This window comes from Homo sapiens, chromosome 2 (assembly GCF_000001405.40).
Source record: "Homo sapiens chromosome 2, GRCh38.p14 Primary Assembly".
NCBI lineage: Eukaryota > Metazoa > Chordata > Mammalia > Primates > Hominidae > Homo > Homo sapiens.
Window position 1 is genome coordinate 235,702,831 of NC_000002.12, and position 26,650 is coordinate 235,729,480.

A 26,650-nucleotide genomic window follows, 5' to 3' on the forward strand; every position below is an offset into this window, starting at 1 on the left:
GATGGAATATAAATTGACCTGGGATGAAAACTGACTCCAGTAAAGCCTTCTAGTTTGTTTTACTCCATGTGGAGTTAGTGGTCACTGTGAGCCAGTTTTCTTGGTTTTTTTTTTTTGGACAGAGTCTGGCTCTGTCACTCAGGCTGGAGTGCAGTGGCGCAATCTCAGCTCACTGCCACCTCCACCTCCCGGGTTTAAGCAATTCTCCTGCCCCAGCCTCCTGAGTAGCTGGGATTACAGGCGCACACCACCTCACTTGGCTAGTTTTTATATTTTTAGTGGAGACTGGGTGTCACCATGTTGGCCAGGCTGGTCTCAAATTCCTGACCTCAAGTGATCCGCCTGCCTCAGCCTCACAAAGTGCTGGGATTACAGGCGTGAGTCACCACGCCCGGCCCGAGCCACGGTTTTCCATCCCTGGTGTGGTTGCTTCATCAGGACTTGGCAGGCCATGTGTTACTCCAGGCTCACTTGTGCCTCCAGCGCAGCAGTGAGTTCAGGTAGCATGTGTGCCTGTCTCTGAGCGGGAGCATCCTCCCCCGGCTGTGGCACCTGGGCAACGGGACATCAATTCCTGCTCTTTAATCCTACCCCCAAAGGTAATAGGAGAGCTTCCTCTGTGGGTAGTTGGGCCCTTTCCCAGGCATCCTGCCACCTCCTTGGCAGCATCTCCTTGGAACCTTACAGAAGCCTTAGGAAAGAATTGCTCCCCTCTTCTCCCCTCCCCCTCCTTCCCCTCCCCCGCTTCCCTCCCCTCCCCCGCCCATCCTCCAGGCTGGAGTGCAGCCTTCCCTCCCTCGCTCTATCCCCCAGGCTGGAGTGCGGTGGCACAATCTCGGCTTACCACAACCTCCGCCTCCTGGGTCAAGCAATTCTCCTGCCTTAGCCTCCAAGTACCTGGGATTACAGGCACCTGCCACCATGCCCGGCTAATTTTTGTATTTTTAGTAGAGATGGAGTTTTGCCATGTTGACGAGGCTAGTCTGGAACTCCTGACCTCAGGTGATCCACCTGCAGGCTAATCTCAAACTCCTGACCTCAGGTGATCTGCCTGCAGGCTAGTCTTGAACTCCTGATCTCAGGTGATCCACGCCCCTTGGCCTCCAAGTACTGGGATTACAGGGGTGAGCCACCTCGCGCCCGACCAGAAATGCTTCTATTTTATGGTGAGGAAATTGAGAGACCAGAAAGTTAACCGAGGTCACTGTCAAACCCATGGCTCCTGGCTCCCTGACCCCTCACACCCATTTCCCTCTGCGTCCTCTTGATCTCCCATGGACACTGGGATGGGCAGGGCCAGGTGGGAGAAGCAGGGCTCATCTCTGAGGGCTGCGTTATGGGGTAGGAGTTTAGCCTCAGTAACTGCAGCACTTTCTGCCCATGGCAACCTGTGCTGTTTTCACATTTCTCAGAAATTCCCGCTCTTGGAGTTTTACACTTGTAACATCTGCTTAGCAAATTTTGAAAAATTGAAGATGAAGAGTAATAAAGTGTGGACAAAGCTCTGCAGGGAGCTTGTTAGAAATGCTGATTTGAGGCCGGGCGTGGTGGCTCATGCCTATATTCCCAGCACTTGGGAGGCCGAGGCCAGCGGATCACGAGGTCAGGAGATCGAGACCATCCTGGCCAACATGGTGAAACCCCGTCTCTACTAAAAATACAAAAATTACCCAGATGTGGTGGCGGGCGCCTGTAGTCCCAGCTACTCGAGAGGCTGAGGCAGGAGAATCTCTTGAACTCGGGAGGTGGAGGTTGCAGTGAGCCAAGATCGCGCCACTACACTCCAGCCTGGCAACAGAGCGAGACTCCGTCTCAAAAAAGAAATGCCGATTTGAAGGTTCTGATTTCCAGAGTCCCGGCTGATGCTCACCTGTTGCTGGCTTTGCTAAGCGTCCCAGGTTAGTCTAGGGCGAGCAGGCTCTGAGCAACACAGCAGATAATGAGGGAGGGATTTAGAATCTGGCATTGCCAAGGAGGTCAAGGGGGACTTTCCCAAGTGTCCCGCTGTGTCCAGAGGCAGCAGCAGGGAGAACCTGTCCTGAAGGGCTGCAGTGGTCGGCGAGCCCGGCACCTGTCTAGTTCTTGGGAAGGATCATTACTATCACCAACGTCGATTGTAAAATACAAGATGCTTTTTTCTTTTTTTTTTTTTTTTTTTTTTTTTTTGCGACAGAGTCTCACTCTGTTGCCCAGGCTGGAGTGCAATGGTGGGATCTCGGCTCGCTGCAACCTCTACCTCCCGGGTTCAAGCACTTCTCCTGCCTCAGCCTCCCGAGCAGCTGGGATTACAATCATGTGCCACCACGCCTGGCTAATTTTTGTATTTTTAGTAGAGACGAGGTTTCGCCATGTTGGCCAGGCTGGTCTTGAACTCCTGACCTCAGGTGATCTGCGCGCCTCGGCCTCCTAAAGTGTTGGGATTACAGGCGTGAGCCACCACGCCTGGCCCAGACACTTCTGAGAACGAGCTACATCCTCTGTGCCACTGGATTCTGGCTGGTCCAGGAACACAGGTGTGCACACATCCGGATGTGCATCCACACACTCATGCGCATATGCCCAGCTGTGTTTCCCTGAAGCATATTTATCCTTCCAGTGTTCCTGCACCTTGGAAGGAAGCAGGACAGCTGGCCTGGACCCTGCCCCACCCTTCCTCGACCCCACCTACTGAGTGATGAACAATTCCACGCCAGCACAGTGTCCAGCCCACAGATAGGTCCCTGTAGTGGAGTAGGAGGAAGGACTATTTTGGTATGCATGGCTTTCGCGAATGTTTTGTTAATTTTCGTTTAGCTTTGTATGAGGCAGCATTCCATTTTGACTGGGCGGTAACAGAGTTGATGAAAGTTTTTAAAATAAATACTTTTTAATGGGAGATGAAGAGTTTTGGCCAATTGAGTCAAGCATTTATTTTATTACTCTTATTGCCACAAACACAAATATGTTCCATTCAAGTGAGGATGTATTTGCAAGTAAAAAGATGCTTCACATTGTTCCAATGTTTATATAATCATGCATCTTTGTTTAATGGAGCACTGCTTAATTTATAATGAATATTTTATATTGTTAGAAAGTTAATCTTATGGTGGTATGTGTTGAAAAATCAGCAGTGCATTGATGAATAGAGCTCATTTTAATTCACAGTTTACCCTCTTTGTTTTACTATTAAAGTTCATTTTTAAAACTTCACGATTTAATTTCTTATGTGCCAAATGGAATAAACCTTAAAAGGTGCCAGAAGGTAACAATGAAAGGAAAATCATCTCATCACCCTTGACTTCAGCCATCTAGTTCCTAACCCTAAATCAGCACCTGTTAAGTTGGAAATTTTACCAGAAATAGTCTCAGCCTTGACAAGCATATGCATATTTATTTTGTTTTGTTTTGTTTGTTTGTTTGTTTTTTAAATAACGAGATGGAGTCTCGCTCTGTCGCCCAGGCTGGAGTGCAGTGGCACAGTCTCGGCTCACTGCAACCTCCGCCTCCTGGGTTGATGCCATTCTCCTGCCTCAGGCTCCCGAGTAACTGGGACTACAGGCGCCCGCCACCACGCCCGGCTAATTTTTTTTTGTATTTTTCAGTAGAGTTGGGGTTTCACCATGTTAGCCAGGATGATCTTGATCTCCTGACCTCGTGATCCGCCCGCCTCGGCCTCCCAAATTACAGGCCTGAGCCACCGCGCCCGGCCAAGCGTATACATATTTTGCACCCCTCACCCCCGATACACTTTTTAGAAATGCATTTGTGAGGATCCTATCCATCTCTGTATCGCACCTGGCTGTCATCACTTGATAGTAGCCTGGGGACTTGGGGAATCCCCACTGCAGTATGTTGAGCTTCAGTTACTGGTTTTACTATTCCATGATGTGGCTATATCCACAGTTACTTAACCAGGGTGTGGTTTGTTACAGTGCAGCAACAGAGTGACGTTCTGAGAAGCCAGACACTATTGGGGCCTGCATTTTGGAGTCATCATCATTGACCTTTCAGTTTTCCCTGGACCATTAGGGTCACTTTGCAGATCCTCTAAGGCCACATTCCCATTTTTCTGCAAGAGTAGTCGATAACAGAAAGAAGTGTTTTCCAAATTAATTGGTAATGCTGTTCACTGATGGTATTAAGACACAATTAGTTACCCCTGACTGAGCGCTTGCTGGGTGTCAGGCCCACGCTAGTGCGTTCCTCGCATCATCTGTCCACGGGTAATGTTTGTCTGCAGCATGTTGGGGTGGTGTTTGGGTGCACAATTATGCAAAATTTTGCGCCCCCGATATTTAGCTCCCAATGTGTCCGTGTCAGTGGGAGGAGAGTAGAGGGGCAGTGACTGGAAGTCTTTGCGGGCAGTGCAGGGAGAAGTCCGCCTCCCAGGCATCTTCTTCCTCAGGGCTCTTGGGCTTTCCTCCTGAGCTCCTGCAGATGGGCCTCTGCCGGTCTGCTCTGCCAGCTGGACAGGCATGTTGTGCCCCGAAAGTCTCTGCCCTCTAGAGATCACTCAGATCTCCTCCTGATCTACCCAGCTGTCCTTTCCTGGAGCAGGGAGTGTTCCTCTGACGGGATGTCTCACTCGGCATCGGGAGACCCTTGACGCTGTCATTGCAGGGCCCGTGGCATCTGGTTTGCTGCACAGTTGCCCTCCCCATGACCCCCCCCCCCCCCGCCCAGAACACACTGGGCAGATGTGCCCCCCACTCTGTGACCTGGTGGGTTGTGCTCCCCCGGCGTGTGACCTGGTGGGACGTGCTCCCCAGCGTGTGACATGGTGGGTTGTGCTCCCCCGGCGTGTGACTTGGTGGGACGTGCTCCCCAGCATGTGACATGATGGGTTGTGCTCCCCCGGCGTGTGACTTGGTGGGACGTGCTCCCCAGCCTGTGACATGGTGGGTTGTGCTCCCCCAGGGTGTGAGATGGTAGGACGTGCTCCCCAGTGTGTGACATGGTGGGATGTGCTCCCTCCCCAGCGTGTGACCTGGTGGGACATGCTCCTCATTTGTGTGACCTGATGGGTTATGCTCCCCCAGTGTGTGACATGGTAGGACATGCTCCCCAGCATGTGACCTGGTGAGATGCACTCCCCAGCCTGTGACCTGGTGGGTTGTGCTTCCCAATCATGTGACCTGGTGGGACGTGCTCCCCATCGTGTGACCTGGTGGGTTGTGCTCCCCAGGGTGTGCCTGGCCTCCTTCAGATGCTGGTTTTGCCCTCCTGTGTCACACCCATGGTGTGGTTAGCCCCTTGGCTTCCAGCCCTGCATCCATGCGGTCCTCATATCACACAGTTCTGTGAAGGTGATGGTGTTTCTTAACTTTTAGGCATCTTATGAATCAGGTCACTTCTTAGACATAATGTAGAGTGAGTAAGTTTCAGCATTGGAGGACAATATATTGGAAGTAAATCCCATGTGGAAAGAGCTATTTTTCTATCAGTGGGATGCACCTCCTCCCTCTGGTCCAGCCCACTCGTCATGTGTTGCCCGAGCTGCCATGTGATCACCAGGACAAATGATGACTACTATCATGGGGTCTCATTTATGATAAGAAATGGCATGTGGTGGGTGTGGAAAACTGGGTTGCAGGTAAAGCCATGGTCGTTTGGGTCATCTGTATCGGGTGGGTGCACTGTGCACAGGCAGTCAGGGGAGGCGGGGGAGAGTGCACCTGCAGAGGGCTGGGCTCTGTAGACCACCCCATGGAGCTTAGGAGTCCTCCATCTTTCTGACATAGTCTAAACCATCCTGGCTGGGTCTTCAGTGTTTAATATCTTTGTGAGGGTCAAAACTCTAGCACCAGATCTTTCTTCTGAGCTGTAACCTGTTACTTACAAACACTGAAGTGTTAACTTACACTGTGAGCATTCAAATCTTCAAATTCAATCATACTTTTTGCTGTGTGTGTGGGATTTCAGAAAAATGACTATTGTAGTAGACAAGCAAAAGACCAAATGTGGACCGACAGGCTATAACAGAATCACTCCTCGGAAAGCTAGGTGTGTCCTCAAATATCTCCACACTTGCCAACAGGCACAGTCAGGAGGGTCTGAAGATACACGCTCCACTGAAGGGCTGTGGCTTTAGCAGGGGAAAAATGGAAAGTTCGATTTTCAGTAACTTTTGAAGTCATTGGATAGAGCATGTGTTACCGACCACAGACTTGGACCTGGAACTCCCCACTGGCATCTAGCTGAGTGTCGTGAACTGGGACAAACTGATCTTTCTGGGGTGAGAGTGACACAGGGAGGCTTGTCTGCACCATCTTCAGTGACCTTCGGATGTGAAAATGGCCCATTGGAGGCATTTTGACTTGGCCTTTACGTGAGTTATGGTGTCTGACTTTGTGTCCTCCTCTTTTTCAGATGCCTTCGTGAACAGCCAGGAATGGACGCTGAGTCGATCTGTCCCGGAGCTCAAAGTGGTGAGTGGTTCCCTCTGGCCCTGGCACCTGTGGGAAGGGAGGGGCTCTGTGCACACCCAAGCCTGCATTCCCAGGCAACTGGTCATCGCCTGGGGCCCAGAGTGGAAGTGTGACTCTGGGTGTGTTCCTGGGAAGGGCCAGGTATAGTTGATAGCTTGGGACTAGAGTCCAAGTTCCTGAGTGCCCCTGGGACAGCTATGACAGCCATGACTGCCACTCAGCCAGGGCGGTGTCTCATGTGCAGGGCAGAGGCCATCATCATCCTCTCTCTCACATCTCGTGGGTGTGTGTGTGTCCACACACACACACCCCCATGGGTTGATTTGTCCTTTGCAGGATGTCACGGAAGGCTCCACACACACACACCCCCATGGATTGATTTGTTCTTTGCAGGATGTCACGGAAGGCTTCTGTCATGAGTCACCAAGCTTTGGTATCCATCATTTTTGAAATGTGACTATTTACCCTGTGACCAAGTATTGGCATGAAATTAAAATTTTTGTCTTTTACGAACCTTACCCTTTCGGTGAAATTATGTAGAGCTTCAAATTGGCACGTGTAAAAAGTGGTCCATCGCAGCCACCCTTTCCAGCCGCTCCCCTCTACCGTAGGATGGAAGGAAGGGGCAAGTCTAACTTTGAAACAACCAGGTTCTTTGTCGTGAAATATGTGGCATTTGTGTGTATGGTTATGTATCTGTGTATGTATGTATATATGTGTATATATGTCTAATTTCCGTGTGTATGTTTATATTTATGTAGGTATCTATGTATGTATGTATATATGTCTAATTTCTGTATGTGTGTGTATGTATTTTCTAATTTGACCGTGAAAGCAAAGCAGATGAGCTCTTGCTGTTCTGCAGACTCCGGCATGGGCCTGCCTAGTGTGTCTGTCCTCTGCATTTCTATTGATAGCACCAGATCCCCTGCGGCCCGTGGACTCCTCCCCACTGACCCCAACCTCATTGCATGCTTGGAGGACAGGACAAGGGCCAGGAGACAGGATCCTTCCGGTCCTTCATGTCTGAGATGAGGAGATAGAGCAACAAAGAACTTCTAGGTCTTTGAAGAGACTTTTGTCACCAGGAAAAGTATTTGTTTTTAAACTTAGGAAATGAAGTACAATGAGTGGGAGGTGCCCTGAGGTGGGAAGGCCCTGTGGTCACTGTGCCGTCTCTCTCATTGGTGTCTGACACACCCATCCCCACCGCAACCGCGGGGTGTCATCAGCTGGGCCCATCTCCTTCCCGGTGTCTGCCCCCCGCCCCATTCCTCCCTGAAGGTCTCTGGGCTGTCTCTGCAGCACTTGCCCGTGGGAGACAAAGCGTCTCTCAGTCCTAGTGCTGTCTCAGAAGCCTGGGGTTCCGCAAGACTGGCCTGGAAAGAGCCGCCTCTTTCTGTCTTTTGTGTGCTTTGTCACCGCGGCACTGGCAGGGTGTCTTAAGCCTATTGAAGCCGTCCAGGAAATGTGCGTTGAATGAATGGCACAGGCTTGGCAATGCTGTTACCAGGAGATTCTCAGAACAATCCCGCAGTTTCCGTTACTTCCTGTTAAGACAGCCGCTGCCACTCGGGTGCTGTGATGGGCACGGAACAGTAGTCACGGTGGTTTACTGGTGGTGATGGTGTGGATACAGCGCTGGCTCTGTGCGGGTCGTGTTCTAAGTGCTTTACAAAATTACTTAATCCTGACAAGTGCCCCATGGGGAGGGATAGGTACGGTTATCCCCATTTCACAGATGAGGAAACTGAGGCTCAGAGACATGAAGAACCTGCCCAAGGAGCCACAGTGAGTAAGTGGGGGAGCTGAGGTGTGAGCCTGGAGCTGGTGCTTCCACCACCGCACTGCCTGACAGAACTTTCTCGACGGTAAAAACCTCCTGCGTCTGCACTGCCCAGTGCCGTCACGGCTGGCGCCATGTGGCTGTTGAGTGATTGAAACGTGGCCAGTCAGTGCCATCAAGGAGCTGCATTTTAAGTTTGATTCTAGTTCATTTAAATTGAAATAGCCACACAGGGCCAGCGGCCACCCTACTGCCAGCATTACAGACTAACTGATCGTCAAGTATTGAACCACCTGACTTGGCAGTTCAAGGTGTTACAGGTTCAGAGAGGGCCCACATGATCATACCAGCCCATAATCGAGGATGCTTACCACCAAAAACTTGTGCTCTGCCGGTATTTTGAAAGCATATGATTTTCTGGAATATCTGCCCAGAGCTGTAGGAGACAGTTGCGTTTGAGGCAGCATGGGCTCCTCATTCTGAAACGGACTGTCTTAAGGCTTGCTTCAATTTGCTGACACCGTGGGCTTCGATGCTGTTGGTTCTACAGTTCTCAGAACGGTCCTGTCCCTGGCCTGAGTGTGGATGGACGAGATCCTGGCAGGCCCACCAGCTCTGCTCTAGCCCAAGTGCCTTCTTGTTGTGGCATCAGCGGGCACTCGTCCTCATCGGCACCCCCAGCAGATCCCTTGTGTGCTGAGGAGTGCTCAGGGACTGAAGAAAGCGCTGCTTTGTTCCCTAGGCAGCCTCCAAGTGCCTATAGGGCTGCAATTGTTTCCCTCCTAGCGCAGCCCCCCCAGGACAGGTGGCACTTTAGGTCAGCGTCTCAGGAACCCAGCCCCTGCTTCACAAACGCAGCAGTGACATGATGTCATGGCAAGCCTCCAATAGGCCCTTTATGTAACATTTTGCAATAAATCTTTTGAAATCTGTCAGAGAAAAAAATTCAATGTTCGCTTTCTTCTCAAGAGTGGTAGTACCATGCCTTATGTTTTATTTTCTTTCTTTCTTTTTTTTTTGTTACGGGGTCTCACTCTGTCACCCAGGCTGGAGTGCAGTGGCGCCATCTCGGCTCACTGCAACCTGCCTCCTGGGTTCAAGTGATTCTCGTGCCTCAGCCTCCCAAGTAGCTGGGATGACAGGCACCCACCACCACATCTGGCTAATTTTTTATTTTTAGTAGACAAGATTTTACCATGTTGGCCAGGCTATGCTCAAACTCCTGACCTCGTCATCCGCCTGCCTTGGCCTCCCAAAGTGCTGGGATGACAGGCCTGAGCCACTGCGCCCGGCCTGATGTTTTCTGAAGTTGTGCTGTGGTCAGATCGTCCATGACCAGTTGCTTTTGGTGCTGCACAGGAGCCAACCGCTGCTGGCTGCAGATGTGTGCCCAACAGCAAAAGCTTGATGCTTCTGTCAGAGGGGAAGGCACATAGGCTCTGGACATCTTGCCTGTGTAGGGGACCTCAGTCCCCAGCTCCTCACATCCTATTTGTGTGTTTTCATTGAACTCCAACTGGAATTTTTACTAAAAGCCTTGATTTCCTTTTCAGCAAACCTCAGGGTTAGTGTGGGGCTCTGGAGAAATCAGTTTAGGAAGACATTGCATTCCCTTTGGCCTTGTGATGTGAAGGGCCGAGTATGGGTTCCAACGCACTTCATGTGCCTGCACAGACGGTGACCCCTGCACAGAGGTTGACAGTGGCAACCTCTTCCTGCCTTAAGTACGTAGTTCTGTGATTTTCAAGACACCTCATTCCTCCTCATGTAGCTCTTTGGCTCGCTCTGGATTGATTTCCTCCGTCTTGGTTTACTTCCAGCAGTCGCTCCGACAGCTTCACGGGTGGCGTGACACACTTGAAACGGCATTTTGACCCCTTATTTTATTTTCCTTTCACCATCAACTGTTAATTTCCACCAGCGTTTCAAATTAAAATGATGCCATCGTGTGTGACTGAGGTGGTCTGTGAGATGGCTGTTCCAGCCAAACCAAACCCCTTCCCACTCCACTCCAAGATTGATTGCCCTAAGGGAGAACTTAGGGGAGAGCTTAATCTTTGCCCATCTTGTTAGGTGGAAGAAGGCAGGAACGTTGCTATGCAGAGAAGGCACAGACCAAAGGATGTTTGGTTTTGGAGCATTTTCTTCCTCGAGAAAGAGAAACTGATCTTAATTAAAAATTTAATTCTGTGGCATACTGTTTTGGATTTTCCCAGCATGAAGCTGACATGAAGCGGGTGCCCTTGAGCAAAAGAATAATTAGTAGGTAGAAATTCTCCGATTATAGAGGCCCAGGGTAAAAAAAGATGTACGTCGGATTAGGAGGGGAAACAGCTTTATTTAGAATCTGTCCACACAGCCTGGCTTGAGCCTGGCTCTGAGCCTTAGTAATAAGCATCTCATTCACTCACCAGCAGTGCAGTCATGCATGTACTCATCCGTTCTTTTACTCGGCCCGTGCTCTTGAGCGTCTGCCTTGGGCTCTGCATTACGCAGGGATTCAGAGAACAAGGCAAATGAGACAAGGTGCCTGTCCTTGAGGAATTGTCAGTATTGGAGGAAGCCAGATCAACACACTGATGTTTCCAAAATAATGTGTTCCCTTGTGAGATATCCTTGGGGCAGAGACCTAAGGGAGCTTTGAGGAAAGGCACCCAGTTGAGGCTGTGGCATCAGGAAGGTGTCTTCGTCTCTTCTGGCTCCTGTAACAAAATATCATACACTGAGCAGCTGATAAACAACAGAAATATATAGCTCACAGTTCTGGAGGCCAGGAAGTCCAAGATCAAGGCACCTGCAGATTTGATGCCTGAGGACCTGCTTGCTGGTTCGTAGGTGGCATCTTCTTGCTGTGTCCTCACGTGGAGGAAGACGCGAGAGGTCTTTCTCAGGCCTCTTCTACAAGGGCGCTAATCTGCTCCCACAACTGCCACACCTCGTAATACAATCACCTTGGGGATTAGGTTTCTTTGTTTAAAATTTTATTTATTATTTTGTTTTTATTTTTTGAGACAGAGTCTCACTCTGTCGCCCAGGCTGGAGTGCGGTGGTGCAATCTCAGCTCACTGCAACCTCTGCCTCCCGGGTTCAAGTGATTCTCCTGCCTCAGCCTCCTGAGTAGCTGGGATTACAGGCATGCACCACCACAGCTGGCTAATTTTTATATTTTTTTAGTTGAGACAGGGTTTCACCATGTTGGCCAGTCTGGTCTTGAACTCCTGACCTCAGGTGATCCACCTGCCTCGGCCTCCCAAAGTGCTGGGATTACAGGCGTGAGCCACCATGCCCAGCCAGGGGTTAGGTTTCAACATATGAGTTTGGCTGGGAGTGTGGGGGTAGGACGGGGAAGCACAAACATTCCTACCATATAGTTGAAGGCTTGTCAGAGGAGGTGACATCTGAACTGATAGTAAGAGTAGGTTTCGGGGAATGATTGATATGGAAAGCTTTAGTTGCCTGGAGACAGCAAGGCCTGTTAGGATGGGGCTTGGTAGCTGATTGACTAGAAGGCCAAGCAGGGAGCGGGCAGATGAGAGGCGGGAGGGTTGTAACTGGGGTGTAAGAGGACAGGACCGAGCATAGGTTTTAGAAAGGCCACTCTGGCTGATGAGTAGAGAGTGGGAGCGGCCAGGACTGGGTGACAGAGAACATTTGGATCCATGAGCCATCACTCAGACAGCAGACCACGGTGGCCTGTAAATCACTGAGAACCTTTTTTCCACACTGTCATGCCAAATTTGTTCTCTTATATGTTTGTTTGTTTTCTTTTTTGTTGTTGTTTTTGTTTTGTTTTGAGACAGAGTCTCGCTCTGTCACCCAGGCTGGAGTCCAGTGGTGTATCTCGGCTCACTGCAACCTCCGCCTCCTGGGTTCAGGCGATTCTCCTGCCTTAGCCTCCTGAGTAGCTGGGACTACAGGCGTGTGCCACCACGCCTTGTTATTTTTTTGTAGTTTTAGTAGAGATGGGATTTCACCGTGTTAGCCAGGATGGTCTCGATCTCCTGACTTCATGATCTGCCCGCTTCGGCCCCCCAAAGTGCCGGGATTACAGGCGTGAGCCACCGTGCCCAGCCCTGTGTTTGTTCTTAATAGCTATTGGCTTCATCATCTACTTAACCAACGTTCCTTCCTCCCTCCTGTCTCTCCTCCTCTCCCCTTTATTTCCATCTCTCCTCCCTCCCATCCTTCTTCCTTGTCATCCATCTATCCATCGACCCATCTTGTGTTTACCAGGACTTTGTTGGAGCCAGGGACTATGACAAGTGTACAGATTCGGAGCTGGTGTCTTGGCCCGTATCCAGAGACAGAGATCTTGGCCCTCGGGGTCCTAAGTGTAGTGGGAGGTGGAGCCCAGGGCCTCACCAGCCACTGTCAAGGCTGTCTGGGGGTGAGGGGAAAGCAGGGAAGCTTTCCCAAGAGAAAGTGAAGCCCTCCTCAGGTGAAAGGGGAGGGGTGCTCAGGTGACAGGAGCAGTGAAGTGTTCTTGCGGCAAGTTCATGGACCTGCTGGGCCTGTTAGCTGCCAGCAAAGTTGTGTGCGAGGATTTGGAAGGAGACAGTTTGTTCCTAAAATGTTTGGAGTTGGGCCTCCAGGCAGCAGGAGTCTCCCACGGCTTATGAAATGAAGGAGTGCCACTTTCTCATGGTCACTTTGTTTCTAGGAACCTCTCTGGTGTTCTCGGGTTGAAAAGCAGGTGCTTGCAGGCAGAGAGAGGCCCTAGAGGCTGCTTCCTTGATCCGTGCACACTGGAGAGTCCACACTGAGGTGGCAGCAAGGTGCCCAGGAGGGAGCGGACTCCCTGACTTCCAGCCACTGGGAGTCGGGGATGGCCTCCAGCTTTCTGGCTTGAGAGGCTGGGTGTGATGTGGCCTCAGAAGCTGATGAGGAGACTGGGAGAGAGAGGCAAGGTGTGGACCCATCGAGGCGTGAATACCGCATAGGTGGCGTACGGATGTATATAAAGTCCTGGTGGGAGCTAAGTAGGGGCGCCTGGAGCTGGGGTGGACGGCGGCCAGGGGATGCGATTTGGGAATAGGCAGCTTTTTTTTCCCCCCACATCCAACCTTCTATCAATGAGTTATGATTCCAGAGTCTGCAGGGTGTCTCCTGTTAAATGGAATCGCAGCTCATTGAGAGAAGGTTGGATGTGGACAGGCGCATGTTGGGACATTAGAGTGGAGGATCAGCTGGAGATGTGAGGATGGAGCCCTGGCGAGTCCCAGTATGTCCCTGCAGATGGAGGAAGAACCCACAGGGCTGGGAGGGAGGTAGAGGCGGAAGCCAGTGTGAGAGTTGGAAGAGAGTGTCTTAACAGCAGCTGCTGGTGATGGGGCCAGGTCAGAGCGAGACAGGCTAGTGGCTTTGAAATGGAAGTTGCGGGTGACCTAGTGGGCAGTTTCCTGGTAGCAACAGGGCCAGAGCTTCAGATAATTTGAGTGGAGGCAGGAGGGAGGTCAACAAGTGGAACCGAGAGCAAGCGGGGTGAGTCCCAGCTCAGGGAATGGCAGGTGGCCTTAATGAGCACCTGTGCCTGGGGATGGGTGCCTTGTGATGTTTTGGGCTTTTTAAGGAATCGATTAGATCATGCTTAAATTTGATCACTAGCGATGTTCTAGTGGGGGAGGAAAAGGTTAAAATGCAGGAGATTTTTGATGAGCAGCTTCCCAGAGAAGGCGGCATGGGGGGTATCCAGCTCCCAAGCACAGGGAAAGGGAGGCTCCCTGTAGGATCGGCCACTTGGAGGCTGGGAGGCCAGGTGTGTCTCCTGTGTCAACAGGGAGGCTTCCTGTGAAGAATCCCCTGGAAAGTCAGCCTTGCCGCCAGGTTACTGCTAGGACAGAGGCCCTCATGTCACCCTCCCTCCTGAGGGTCGCCTTCTAATCCAGCACAAACGAGCACCTTTGCCGTCTCTCCCAGCAGCCCTGGCACTGTCCCCTTTTTCTCGGAGATGCCTTGGTGGGTCCTGTGTCTGGGAGGCAGGTGTGTGCCCTCCTCGCCTGTGTGGCCGGCCCCTGCCTTGCTCCTCCACCCCCAGGTCTCCCCACACTGCCCTTTTCTGCTCCTGTTGTCCTGCCCCCAAGTCTACCCTAGACTCATCCCCTAAAGATGCTACCATGCATGGGTCCTCGCCACTCTCCCCACGTCACTCACCTCTGCCCTCGGGTGCCACCTCACCTGCTGCTTTTCCCAGTCTCTGGAGGGTGCACAGTAGATGCCGGCGGGCTAACTCAAGGAACACAGCCCTGATGTAAACAATGTGCTTGTTTTCTGGAAGAATGCCAAACCAGTGTTTATACCAGCATTGCTGATGCCGTTGCAGCTGTTGAGGCTGATGAGAACGTGAGATGTTAATTAAGAGTGTTGGACTCCCTTTTACTCCAATGGAAGTATTGAATGAGCTTGTTTTTGGCCATCCAGCCAGTGCTTGGTTATGTTTGTGTTTAGGCCTCCTGTCTATTTTAGCCTCTTAGTATTTGCAAAATGCCAAATAGAGTGATTTGATGATGCTTAACGGTTGTCCGTTTCTGTTTCAGGGAATTGTGGGTAACTTGGCCAGCGGCAAGTCTGCCCTGGTGCACCGGTACCTGACGGGCACATATGTCCAGGAGGAGTCTCCGGAAGGTATGCTGTTTGGCAGGCAGTTGCAAACTTAAGAATGTAGTTTTTTAAAATTTTTCCTTAGCATATTATAAATCATGACTTTGATGTATCACAGGTCAAGAAAGCAATAAAACATACCAAGCGGTAAAAACCCTTAAGTATGTGGTTTCTTCTGTAGTATTTTTAGCAAACCCGTTATATTCACTTTGATATCTGGAATAGCGCAGTAGAACCATGAAATACTATTGAATTTATTTCTTATCTAATTGTTCTGTCCTTTCAAATGTCCTTTTTAATCCAGTGTCCTTCTTATCCATTGTTGCTCCTTTAAATATTGACTGGACATTCCTGTGATCTGGATATTGAATTTATACATAATTTGTATGTAATGTTACTTAGTCATAGATAAGAGCCTTCCGGGATAAGACGTTCAGATTACCACCACCATATGTTTGAGTATGTTTCCCCCCTTATATTATAAACATTTAATAATCATTTTGCATGAGAGTAAGATTTTTTTTTTTGCCATTAGGCATTTGCTTCTTCAGTTAACATGTCCATATTTTATTTTTTGCCTTAAATAAAATTATGATAATGGTAGGAAGCATTTAGCTCCCGTGTCCCCTAACGAAGGGGTGTAGTTGACAAGCAGTTTTCTAAATGAAATTTTCTCTCCGTGTAACTTTGTTAAATCCAACTCTGAGACACTGAATTTCTGGTTCCTTCTTTTTCTTACTGGCTGTTCCATTCTTTGCAGATATGGATGCAGGTAACTATTCATTTTCTTCATGGCAGCGCTTGTCTTGTTTTGGAGAGAGAGGAAAGGCACCACTTTGTACTGTAGCGTTCCCTTCCCTCCTTGTTCTGTGTACCATCCTGTTTTGTTTCATTTTATCTTTTTCTTCAGTTGAACATTCCACCCTGTTTTGTCCCTTAGTTGTCTTTTTAGCAGTAGTCCCAAGCAGCTTCACCTGTTCCCTGTAACACCTGTCCTAGCATTTAACTCTTGTCCTGAATACTGCGGAACCGTTCGGAGAAGTATAAAAGTGGCTTGAGGCTCTGCCACCGTTTTGCAGAATTGTGTAGTCATGTCATGAACACCTCATGCATCAGGAAGAGACCTTCCATACTGAAATGATGATCTAGGAAGATTAGAGGTGATAATGAAGGCTTGTATGTAGGGGTCAATAGGAGAAAGCTTGCCTGTTCACTGAGAAATGCATACAGATGCCAGAAAATGGCATGATTTGGAGAAATGAGCAAAGGCCACATTTTGTCAGGGCTCTGTCCCTGGGTTTTGACGGCTTTTATTTGCTCCTTTGTGTCGGAATATGAATTTTAGCCACGGCCAGCTGGTGACACCTTTTAGAGAATCTTTTAGAGATTTTTCCTTTGGGTTTTCCACTTATTTTCAAGGGCTAGCTATTGTAGAGGTTATACAGAGGTTAACTCACCTGCAAATGAAATGACCACCTTTTCTAAGTAAATCTACTTTCAGGGCCCTGCAACTCTGTGGATTTCAAGCTGGGACCACAGGAAGTTACATGAGTCGGGCCTGGTTTTGTTGCTGTTGCTCTGGCAGTCTCTGGCCCTGGGGTTCAGGTGTCTGGTGGGGCAGCGCTGGAGGCCCTGGGTTTCTGGAGTAAGAACAAGGACCACGACTCACTCATGGTGGCCTTTCTGCTATATGGCTATTTGGTCATTTTTGTGGCTTTTCGCTGTTTTCCCTTTGGGCATTCACAGTGTGTTCCATTGTATTTGGGCCCAGCTGGGATGTCTTTTGCAGTGCATAATTGACCCTTACATGTTGACTCACACCAAAGCATTTCTCTTGAACGTTTATACATCAAAAGGAAGGATTGTGGGGTGACCTAAACTGATCACTAACATCCCTGCTTCTTTGATTTTTCAAGTAATGCATTTTACTGCACTGAAATTTCATAGTATTGTGTATGGTTTTTAAAAATACATTATTTTTAAGAGTAGGAGCGTGGGTGAGTACCTTCCTTTCTTCATCTGCAAAGTGGAAGTAGCTCATCCCCTCCATGGGGCCCCATGCCCAAGGCTTCCTGGGTCAGGGGAAAGATCATGATCCCTGACCTTTTCTCATGCCCTGCAGCAGCCCTCCCTGGGCATGTGGCCTCTCACCTTTTGACTCGAGGTCCCAGGGATTGTTCTGTGGGAGTGTGAGGAGCTGACAGCAGCAGACACCCAGGTGCACCCCAGTGGGTGTGTGTCTAGGGCCCCTGGGTGCTGAAAGAATTATGAATACATGGCTCCTTGTGCCTGGAAGCTTCTTAGTCCTGCTGAATTCATGCTTCTCATGGCTGAGCCACCTTTCCCGTGTAGAACCAAGCAGGTGGCCACTGTCTTTGCCCCTCTTAATGAGACCAGGGAATGGACTTCTACTTCCTGTTCATGTGACTGTGTGCCTCATGACAGTGGCAGGAGGGAGCCATAACTTGTTGTAATGTCACTTGTAATGAAGGGAGCCATACTTGTTGTTTGGGAAAGAAAACAAATGAGAAGCCGTGTTTCTTTCATACCACGGTCTTGCCATCCTGAAATTCCCTCTCATGCTCAGGGAGCCTGTACCTGGAAAGTGATTTCAATTTTTGTCCAGTGAGTTAGTGTTGATCAATTACCCATGCTTTGCTTAATTGAGAAGCTTTAGGTATAGAGTGTTGTGGGTTTGGGATATAATTTACTGTGTTGTCACCTGGGTGTGTGGAGACTATCAAAGGGATGTGTTGTCCTCGGGGAGTGCTGGAGGCTGACAAAGCTGATGATGGCCCAGCCTCACCTGTGGTTACTTACCCACACAAAGGTGAGGGCACTCCCACAGTGGTGGGAGTGGTTGGCGCCCGGTTGAGGGATTGGATTTTGAGTGAGCTCTGTGGCCTTCCCATTTCTTGGTGTACTGCTGCCTTCTCATCAGACCTCCTTTCCTCTTACAACTGCTAGAGCGATCAACTGGGCAGCTACTTTGAATGAAAGGCATTTTGCTGTGTATCTGCCTGTCCAGATAGTTCCTTGGATTCTCCCTGCGCTTCTTAATGTCTGTGCCCTGTTCTTCTGATTTAATTAGTGCGTGAGTATCCTTTATGTCATAATCCTGACCCGTGGCTGGGATATGTAGACTGCTGGGAGGGGTGAGGGTGAGGGCCTTCCTGTCTTCAGGGGAGAGCTCTCTCGTGGTAGAAACATTTCTGGTGCAGAGCCGTCTCCAGATCCAAGCCTGCTTTTCCTCAGATACATCAGATGCATTTTAGCTCCATCCCAGAGGGTAATATCTGCTGTCTTTTCGTTGTATGATGCATTTTGGTTGATATTTTATTCTTGTAGTGAAGAGAGCCAACTCACAAGATTTAGATTATTTTATTTTATTTATTTATTTATTTTGAGATGGAGTCTTACTCTGTCACCCAGACTGGAGTGCAGTGGCGTGATCTCAGCTCACTCCAACCTCTGCCTCCAGGATTCAAGTGATCCTCCTGCCGCAGCCTCCTGAGTAGCTGGGATTACAGGCACCCCCCACCGCGCCCGGATAATTTTTGTATTTTTGGTAGAGGCAGGGTTTCACCATGTTGGCCAGACTGGTCTTGAACTCCTGACCTTAAGTGATCCACCTGCCTGGGCCTCCCAAAGTGCTGGGATTACAGGCATGAGCCACCACGTCCAGCCAAGACTTAGATAATTTTAAAGATGCAGTTCAAATGAGGGAAGGATATAAATATTCTGTTTTTCAATTAGTGAATTAACAACACAAAAGTGGGTAACACCGTAGGGAACTTGTGATTCCATGAAATCAGTCAAAGAGTAAACCTCTTGGATTGACAGATTCCTTAATATTATGTGTGTGTGTGTGTGTGTGTGTGTGTACACCTAGGTGTGTAATATATGTATGTGTACTTCAGTCCTAGCACTGTAGTAACGAACTGCCACACACAGTGTGGCTTAAAACAGAAATGTATTCTCATAGTTCTCAGAAGTCTGAAATCAAGGTGTTGACGGGGTTGGTTCCTTCTGCAGCTTAGAGGTTGAATCTGTTCTATGTCTGTGCGGTTCTGATTTAATTAGTGTGTGCATATCCTTTATATTCTAATCCTGACCCATGGCTGGGATATGTAGATTGCTGGGAGGGGTGAGGTGGTGAGGGCCTTCCTGTCTTCAGGGGAGAGCTCTCTTGTGGTAGAAACATTTCTGGTGCAGAGCCGTCTCCAGATCCAGGCCTCCTTTTCAGCAGATACATCAGATGCATTTTAGCTCCATCCCAGAGGGTAACATCTGCTGTCTTAATTGTGTGATGCATTTTGGTTGATATTTTATTGTTACAGTGAAGAGAGCCAACTCACAGATTTAGATGATTTTAAAGATGCAGTTCAAATGAGGGAAGGATGTAAATACTGTTTTTCAATTAGTGAATTAACAGTGCAAAAGTGGGTTACTCCATAGAGAGCTTGTGATTTCATGAAAGCCATCAAAGAGTAAACCTCTTGTATAGACAGATTCCTTAATTGGGTGTGCGTGCTCACACGTGTGTGTGCACATCTGGGTGTGTAATATATGTATGTGTACCTCAGTCCTAGGGCTGTGGTAACAAAGTACCACAAACTGGCTTAAAACAGAAATGTATTCTCACAAGTCGGAAATCAAGGTGTTGACGGGGTTGGTCCTTCTGCAGACTTTGAGGTTGAATCTGTTGCATGTCTGTGCACAGTTGTTCTGATTTAATTAGTGCGTGAATATACTTTATCCTAATCATGACCTGTGGCTGGTATACGTAGATGGCTGGGTTATGTAGATGGCTGGGAGGGTTAAGGTGGTGAGGGCCTTCCTGTCTTCAGGGGAGAGCTTCTGGTGGCTGTCAGCAATCCATGCTGTTTCTTGGCTCATAGACTCCTAACCCCAGTCTCTGCCTCTGTCATCACAGTGTTTTCCTGGCTATCTGTGACTGTCCAAACTTTTTCTTATAAGGACACCAGCCATTGGATTTAGGGCCCATCCTCCTCCAGCATGACATCATCTTTACTTGATCCCATCTGCAAAGACCCTCTATCCAGGTGAGGTCACACCATAGGTCCCAGGGGTTAGGGCTTGAACGTATCTTCTAGGGGATACAATTCAACCCACAGCAGTGTGTGTTATATACCTGTGATGTTCTCCAGGGATGTCCAATCTTTTGGCTTTGCTGGGCTACATTGGAAGAGGAAGAATTGTCTTGGGCCACACATAAAATACACTAACACTAACAATAGCAAATGAGCTAAAAAAAAAAAAAATTATACACACACTAAAAACTCATGTGTTAAGAAAGTTTACAAATTAGCGTTGGGCCGCATCCAAAGCTGTCCTGGTTGGCAGGTTAGAGAAGCTTGGTTTAGACGGTCGCTGCACTTAGAACTGTTGGAGTTGGCCCCATCACTTGGTGGTGGTCATGGTTCTGCCAGTGATGCTTTTGCAAGCTCTGCTGGTGTTCTAGAACCTCACAAGGACTCATCGGCTGGCAGTGACCTTCACACCTCTGAGGACAATTTCACAGCTGCCGTTCACTTCCTATAAAGAGAATGAGATGAAAATTAGTTATTTGCCAATTGAGCCCTATTAATGGCTGCTGATTAGAATCGTGTGACATTTTGGGTGTGTAATGTGACTTCCCTCGTGGTGTGTTTATGTGCTTAATATTCAGCGTCCCCCAACACAGACCCCACATGATGCCACTCAGCTTTTAACTCTCCTTTCAAAAGAGAAAAAGTCAAAGGAAACAAAGCTAGGATGTCCAGTATTATGTGGACATTAGATAGGAAATGTGGACCTGCCCAAGACACTTCACCCCCTGCAGGTGGGGAGAGTGTGGCGTCCTCCTGAGATCTTTTCAGGTTGCAGAACTGAGTCATTGCTCTGAGACCCGTTCCCCAGGACAACTCTCTCTGTGTCACCCATGGCATCACAGGCACCCTGGGCCATGGGCCCTCCCGAGCTGTGCAGGTTAGCTTGTGTGCCAGAAGGACCTGAGGACCAGAAAAGCTGAAAGCCAGCACCACGCTGAGATCGTGGCACACCTGAGGAGGGCAGAAAGGTGGCCCCACAAGCTTCCCAAGATGAAACTAAACTGTATATGGATTGAGTGGGAGCTTTTATCGTTGGTTGGTTGGTTGGTTGGTTGGTTGGTTGGTTGGTCGATCGACAGAGACTTAAGAATGTTCATAGACCAACTCCAAGCTGCAAAATGAAAGTACCGAGAGGAAGGTGGGCCATCTGAGAGCCGCCTTTATCCCAGATCTGGAAGAAACCCACATCTAGGTGTGAAAGTGGCAAAAGGAGGGCCGGGGCCTGCCTGCCACTGAGGCCCAGCGGCTGCCTGCGAGGGTCAGTGGTGTCGTAGCCTGCTGCCGCCACACAGAGGGATTTGCAGGGAAGGGCCTTAGCCAGGCATGATGTGGGAGCGTTGGCCCTGGCATTCCCGGGTCTTCATGAGCTTAATTCAGCAGGGGCTCCTTCCTTCAGTGATGGAATCTGGAGTTTCTGACTGATTCTTAACCAACTCAAAATTTTAGGCAGAAAGCTAGCTCCAAGGCTGAGGCAGCCCTGAATGTGCCTAGGCCAACAGCCAGCGAGCTCCTGGCCGGGAGCCTGGTAATGGGGATGGCTGGTAAAGGCTGTGCCGGCCCTGCCTCCCTCCCAGAAGGGCGACCCTCCAGCCCCATGTCCAGGCTCTCCCATCTTCCCAGCTCGGGCCACACATAGGCAGCAGCTGCCCCCATGCTCTGTCCCAGAGACGGAACACACTGGTCACTGGGAGATTAGCCTCCCTCATTCATTTTCCCGATAGAATATGATAGCTGAGGTAGCTGGAAGAGTATGGTCAAGGAGCTCAAGGCAGCTCTTTCACTCAGGAGCCTGCCAGCGTAGGGCAGGGGAAGTCAGTGCCCTCCCAGATGGAAAAGGTACCTGCGGTGGTGGGGGGAGGGGGAGTTCCCTATGTAAAGAAGAGTCCAAAACAGATAAGGGAGACTGAAGAAACCTGAACATCCAGTGCTCATGAGGAAAAGCTTTAAGAGAAAATACCAGGTGCTAAGAGTAATTATAACTACCAGGTAAGGACCAGTGAGAAACAGTGGGTGAGATTAGGCTCGACAGTTCCCTAACTCAGGAAAGTCGAGTTTCTGAGCATAAGTCATAGGAAATTCTCAAACATACTTTTGCTTTGTGCCTGGGAAGCAGGAAAGTACACCAGACCCACCTCATTTCTTACATCTCTCCAAGAGAAGCCTTTCGCTTGTCTGTTTGGTTTATTTGGTTCACATCAGAGTTTGCTAAAGGCTTGGAGGTTCTGTAGGAAGGAATGAGCCGCTTCACCTCCTGGAGAAAGGACGTCTCGTTTCCAGCATGTCGGGGGTCAGGCTGTGCTGCACTGAGGCTGAAGGGTTCTGGGATTTTCCACTGTGTGTTTGGTTTCTGTTGCTTGTTCCAAGCTGCTGACGCGGTGTGCTGGATGAGAGTTCTACTGGCCACTGGCTTCTGGCCTCCAGGGCCAGCTGGCTGTACAGCCACCTGCAAGTCTTTGTTCCCGGGGTTAGCCTTGCCACCCTCCTTCAGGACTGCCTAGAATTGTTTCCTGTCATCGGGGTAGTAAATGTGTTCTCAGGAGCACGTGTATCTTAAATATGTTTTAACGAATGTTTACTTAGTTTCTTAGAAACAAAACGTGGTAAACACCCAGTCTTATTTTCTGGGACACATGAAGTGTGTTTAAGCTGTCAGCTCCAAAAACCCTTTCCAAGTCAAATAACTTAAAAAAAAAGGTTGTCAGCTACCACTGCATCCCAGATGTTAGAGTTTATTTCTAAAGCTGTTCTTGGGTGCTGTTTAATGTTCCAGTGGAAAAAAAAAAAAAACACCTGTAATACTCCAGTAACATTTGACTAGTCGTGAAATCTAGCCATTTAGATTTTTCAACCTCAATTTGACCGTTAGTTGCAACCAAGTGATTATAAACACATGATAATTTTTTAATGAGAATTATCTGTAAACGTTGAGATGATGAGCCTGCTGCTATGTTGGTTTAATAGATAAAGCAGAAGTCAGTTCAGCCATCTTCACTGATGATTTTCAGAATTAACCTGATCACTCACCATGGAAATACCATTCCCCTTTGTTCTTGTCTTCCTATGTGTGTGACAGTCCCTAACTTGACCCCTGGCATGGAAGCCATCAGTGAGGATCAGGTGATATTGTCTAAAAATAGGTAAAGGATGCTAACATTATTATTAGATGTTCAAAAAAATAATAAAAGGGAAGCATGTTCTGTTTCATTTTGAGCAAGAAAAAAAGCCGTAAAATCAGAATAAGGAGATAGTCATGTTTTTGGCATTGATGAAATTGGCAGGACAAAGTGTGTTTTTGAGTTGGCTGTATGGAACTCAGAATGTATTGTCCCATATTGTTATAATTAATTTGACAAGAAATCCAGGGCTTACCAAAAGCCATACTGGGCCTGCATTGGAGCCTGTGTTCCAGAGAAAATACCTTTCTGAATAAGTAACTGTGATGCAGGGCTGGGACTTACACCCGGTCTGGGAGCGCCCTAAAGAGGACAAGCCCGCTGGCTTCTGTGGGGAGTCACTGTCTCCTGAGGGCAGCGCACAGAGGCTCATGTGTGTCCCTTCACTCACAGAGCCCAACAACAGCACAGCACATGCTGTTGACACAACTGTTGCTTTCCTAAGAAACCTCACGGCATCAGATATTTTAACAAAACCGTTCTTTAAGAGGAAAATGGAGACTAGAGCCTAGAAAGTTTCACGTATGTAATTACAAATCATTTTTCCTAGAGAAATTTTACCCCAAAAGTGTTCTGAGGCTGTGGGTGCATTTACCTGTTTATTGCGGATTAACAGAGCCATTGAATCTATCCCAATGGAACCACCATCACACACTTTCACCTGTGTTCACTGCTCCTCCCGTCTGCCCATGTCTTTGGCCTTGATCACGCCATCTCTCTGGAAGCCCAGCTCCAGGTCCAGGAAACCAGATTATAGCAGACCACTGTGCCCCTGGCCAGGGAACCGCCTGCTCTGGTCTGGAAGCCCCGGGGCCATGCTCGCTGTGTTAGTCAATGCTCTTTTGGTTGCATGAGATAGTTGACCAACTTAGGTTAGCTAAAATAGAAAGGCAGGGAGGGGGTGGGCCAGTGGTGAATTATTAACTTCTTAACTTGCATCTCTGGAGCTGCCAAGGGGATGGATTTAGTTTTAGAAAGACCCTAATCTCCTGATGCACTGAAGTTCTTGAGGAGCCCTCTCCCCCATTTCTTGCCTGTGTTGGGTGGGCATCATGCCCAGCAAGGTCTCCCCACTTGGTAGCAAGCCCTTCATGGTGGTTTCGGTCCTTAGTGCTCAGATGTGGTGAGGAGGGAAAGGTGAGGATTTTTGTCAATAGCTACAGCAAAAGACTCTAAGTCAGTTCCATGTGGCCTCATTTGAGTCAGGTGCTTTTCCCTAAAACAATCAGTATCACAGGTTGGAGGGGATGTTTTGATTGTTCTGTCCCTTCGGGTGGGGAGATGAGGTCAGCCTAATTGAGCTGAGTGGCTTGAGCAGGAGTATGATAGACTAGGGCTGGGCAGAAGGTGGACTCCAGAAAAGGCCGGGAGGCAAGTCCCAACCCTGTGTCTTCAGGGTTTGTCCGTTTTAAACATTTTAGCCAGGGTGGGGCTGGGGGGAGGGGGTGTTGTGCAATGCAGTTCTCTTTCCTAATTCACAGATCACGTTACACCCAGCTTGCACGGTTTGAACTTGGGTGCTAAAGGAGAAGCACCTGGGGTATGTTTGAATTCACCCCAAAGCTACCTCTGGTAAGTGTCTCCTTGTGACTTTTACAGTCTCACTTGGGCTGTGGACCTCTGACATTTTCAGGCAAGTTTTTGCTTCTTAATCTCCAATGCTGAAAGCTTAGTCTTTGGAATGTTATACATTGTTTGGATCTTAAAAATGTCAGCTCACAAAATAATGTTTTTACATCCTTCCTCCAACATCATCAACCGCATTAGCTCACCACCACTCCTCCTCTCCGCTTCTCCCCCAACCTGTTTTATCGGTGTCAGGAAAGGGGAGCGATCAGTCTCTCAGGAGGTACCCATATTGATCATAATATAGCCTTTCTTAGGCGTAGCAGTCCAGCAATCAGGGTTCAATGGTTTCCTCTGGAAGGTAGCATACTGAAAAAGACGAAGTGCAGAGAAAAGACAGGGTGGGGGTGCAGCATGTCTAGTTTGGGGGCCTGGCTGTGGGTCAGAATGGAGAGATTGACACTTCAGAGAAGGCCGGGAATGAAATTGAATGTGCAGAGCACACGTTCCACTCAGCACCGATTAGAGCTGGGATTGCCTCTCGCAACTCCCCAAAGAAAATGCTGCGTCCTTGTAAGACCGTGTCTGCCCAGTGGGGGCCTGGACACTAAGTGCCACTTCTCTGCCCATGGCAAATTCCAAGGGCCAGGACGATGGAGACAAGGGAAGTAGAAGTTGAAAGAAACTCCCAACGGCAAATTAGGTCGAGTGCCAGAAAGAATTACATCAGGAGAATCTGAGATGTAGTGAAAGTGCCCCCAAGCTCCCCGCTCCATTTCATGTGCTACTGGCTGGCTGTGAGATCTGAAAAGGACTGGGCCCAGACTCTGTGTGTGTGTGTGTGTGTGTGTGTGCGTGCTCTTAAATCAATGTAAATTAGGCTATATACAGCTGCCAATAATCTGCAAAAGATGACAGTTTCATATGATTCCAATGGCTTAAACTAACAAATTCATGAATGATTGACCCAGACCAGAAATGGAAACCTGATTCAACTCACAGTGTAGTCCTTTATCCATGCTTGTTGGCTTCTGGAACGCACAGTGTTCAGGAGGATTCTGAGGCAGGGTCTGTGTGCAGGAGGAGTGCTAGTGTGAGAGCTGCTGGTGCCTGCCCTGGGTCCGAAAGCTGGTGGTGGTCTGTTCTTGTTGTATGAGGGCAGCCCATGTCGCCAGCATTTATTTTCTGAGCCCCATTTCTTAATGTTGTATATTTTTTTAAAAATTAACACCACCATAAGCAAGAAGGAAAAAATCAACACTTGCTCTTTGAAGGCCAAATACATTGAAATGAAAGCGTGCCTAGTGGAGCAAGAGCGGGGCGGGGAGGAGGGGAAGCCAGCCTGCAGCATTGCCCTCTAGACACTAAGAAGAAGGGAGTAGGTTTAGGTTGGATGAAGAAGGGAGGTTTGGAGCCTGGACGAGAGCAGGGGTTGTGGAGGAATGGTCAAAACCCAGGCGTGATGTGACCACACCATCTGGCAGGGGACCAGGCCAGCTGCTGTGTGGGTCTTCCATGTCCCAGGGACGGAGAGAGGAGAAGTGGGGTTGGCCAGGCAGAGGCATGATAAGAGTCAGAGTGGCTGGGCTCCAGGGCTCCAGCCAGGCTATTAGCAGGAGCACTGGCTTTGGAGGGGGACCTAAGAGGACAGATAGGGGAATCCCCAGGCCACCTCTGGACCTTGACATTGACTAATGGGATGAGCTGCTGGAACCCATCACCATGAAGCCCCCTGCACTAACTAGGGCGTGTGCCCCTTGAGGAGCCGCATCCGCTTATTGGGCCTAAGAAAAACTGATTCCCAGGTGTGTTTGGGCCGTCTAGAACCATGTGACCTGGCAGCCACTTCAACTTGGGCAGCATCTCGGCTGGGAGCCCCAGGGAGCCTGGCAGTACCTCAGTGGCAGATGCAGCTCGTTCCAAGATGTTCCAGAGGCAGGAGGTTCCTGGAAGAACCACTGGGCCTTGCAGGGTCAGCTCAGCCTGAGAGCCAGTGACCCCCTCCCC

General features: G+C 49.2%; 1 protein-coding gene across 5 annotated transcripts in view, besides 3 other annotated features; it reads left to right on the forward strand.

Annotated features, from left to right (window-relative positions):
- Positions 1 to 26,650, forward strand: part of AGAP1 (ArfGAP with GTPase domain, ankyrin repeat and PH domain 1) — a 637,751-nt gene that overhangs the window by 208,788 nt on the left and 402,313 nt on the right. For all 5 annotated transcript variants that reach the window (NM_001037131.3, NM_014914.5, NM_001244888.2 and 2 more), the window contains exons 2-3: positions 6,349 to 6,407; positions 14,727 to 14,814. In NM_001037131.3, the coding sequence (NP_001032208.1) occupies positions 6,349 to 6,407; positions 14,727 to 14,814 (147 nt within the window). The remainder of the gene's footprint in view (positions 1 to 6,348; positions 6,408 to 14,726; positions 14,815 to 26,650) is intronic.
- Positions 5,888 to 7,087: an enhancer, noted in NCBI's record as "P300/CBP strongly-dependent group 1 enhancer chr2:236617362-236618561 (GRCh37/hg19 assembly coordinates)". NCBI's record gives its function as "activates an origin of replication core promoter dependent on BRD2, BRD4, P300/CBP, MED14 and CDK7 cofactors, with strong dependence on P300/CBP, by STARR-seq in HCT116 cells {active_cell/tissue: HCT116}" and the evidence as "EXISTENCE:reporter gene assay evidence [ECO:0000049][PMID:35650434]".
- Positions 20,749 to 21,316: an enhancer, noted in NCBI's record as "H3K4me1 hESC enhancer chr2:236632223-236632790 (GRCh37/hg19 assembly coordinates)". NCBI's record gives its function as "activates a minimal SCP1, AML or CMV promoter by ChIP-STARR-seq in naive H9 embryonic stem cells {active_cell/tissue: H9 hESC(naive)}" and the evidence as "EXISTENCE:reporter gene assay evidence [ECO:0000049][PMID:30033119]".
- Positions 21,317 to 21,884: an enhancer, noted in NCBI's record as "H3K4me1 hESC enhancer chr2:236632791-236633358 (GRCh37/hg19 assembly coordinates)". NCBI's record gives its function as "activates a minimal SCP1, AML or CMV promoter by ChIP-STARR-seq in naive H9 embryonic stem cells {active_cell/tissue: H9 hESC(naive)}" and the evidence as "EXISTENCE:reporter gene assay evidence [ECO:0000049][PMID:30033119]".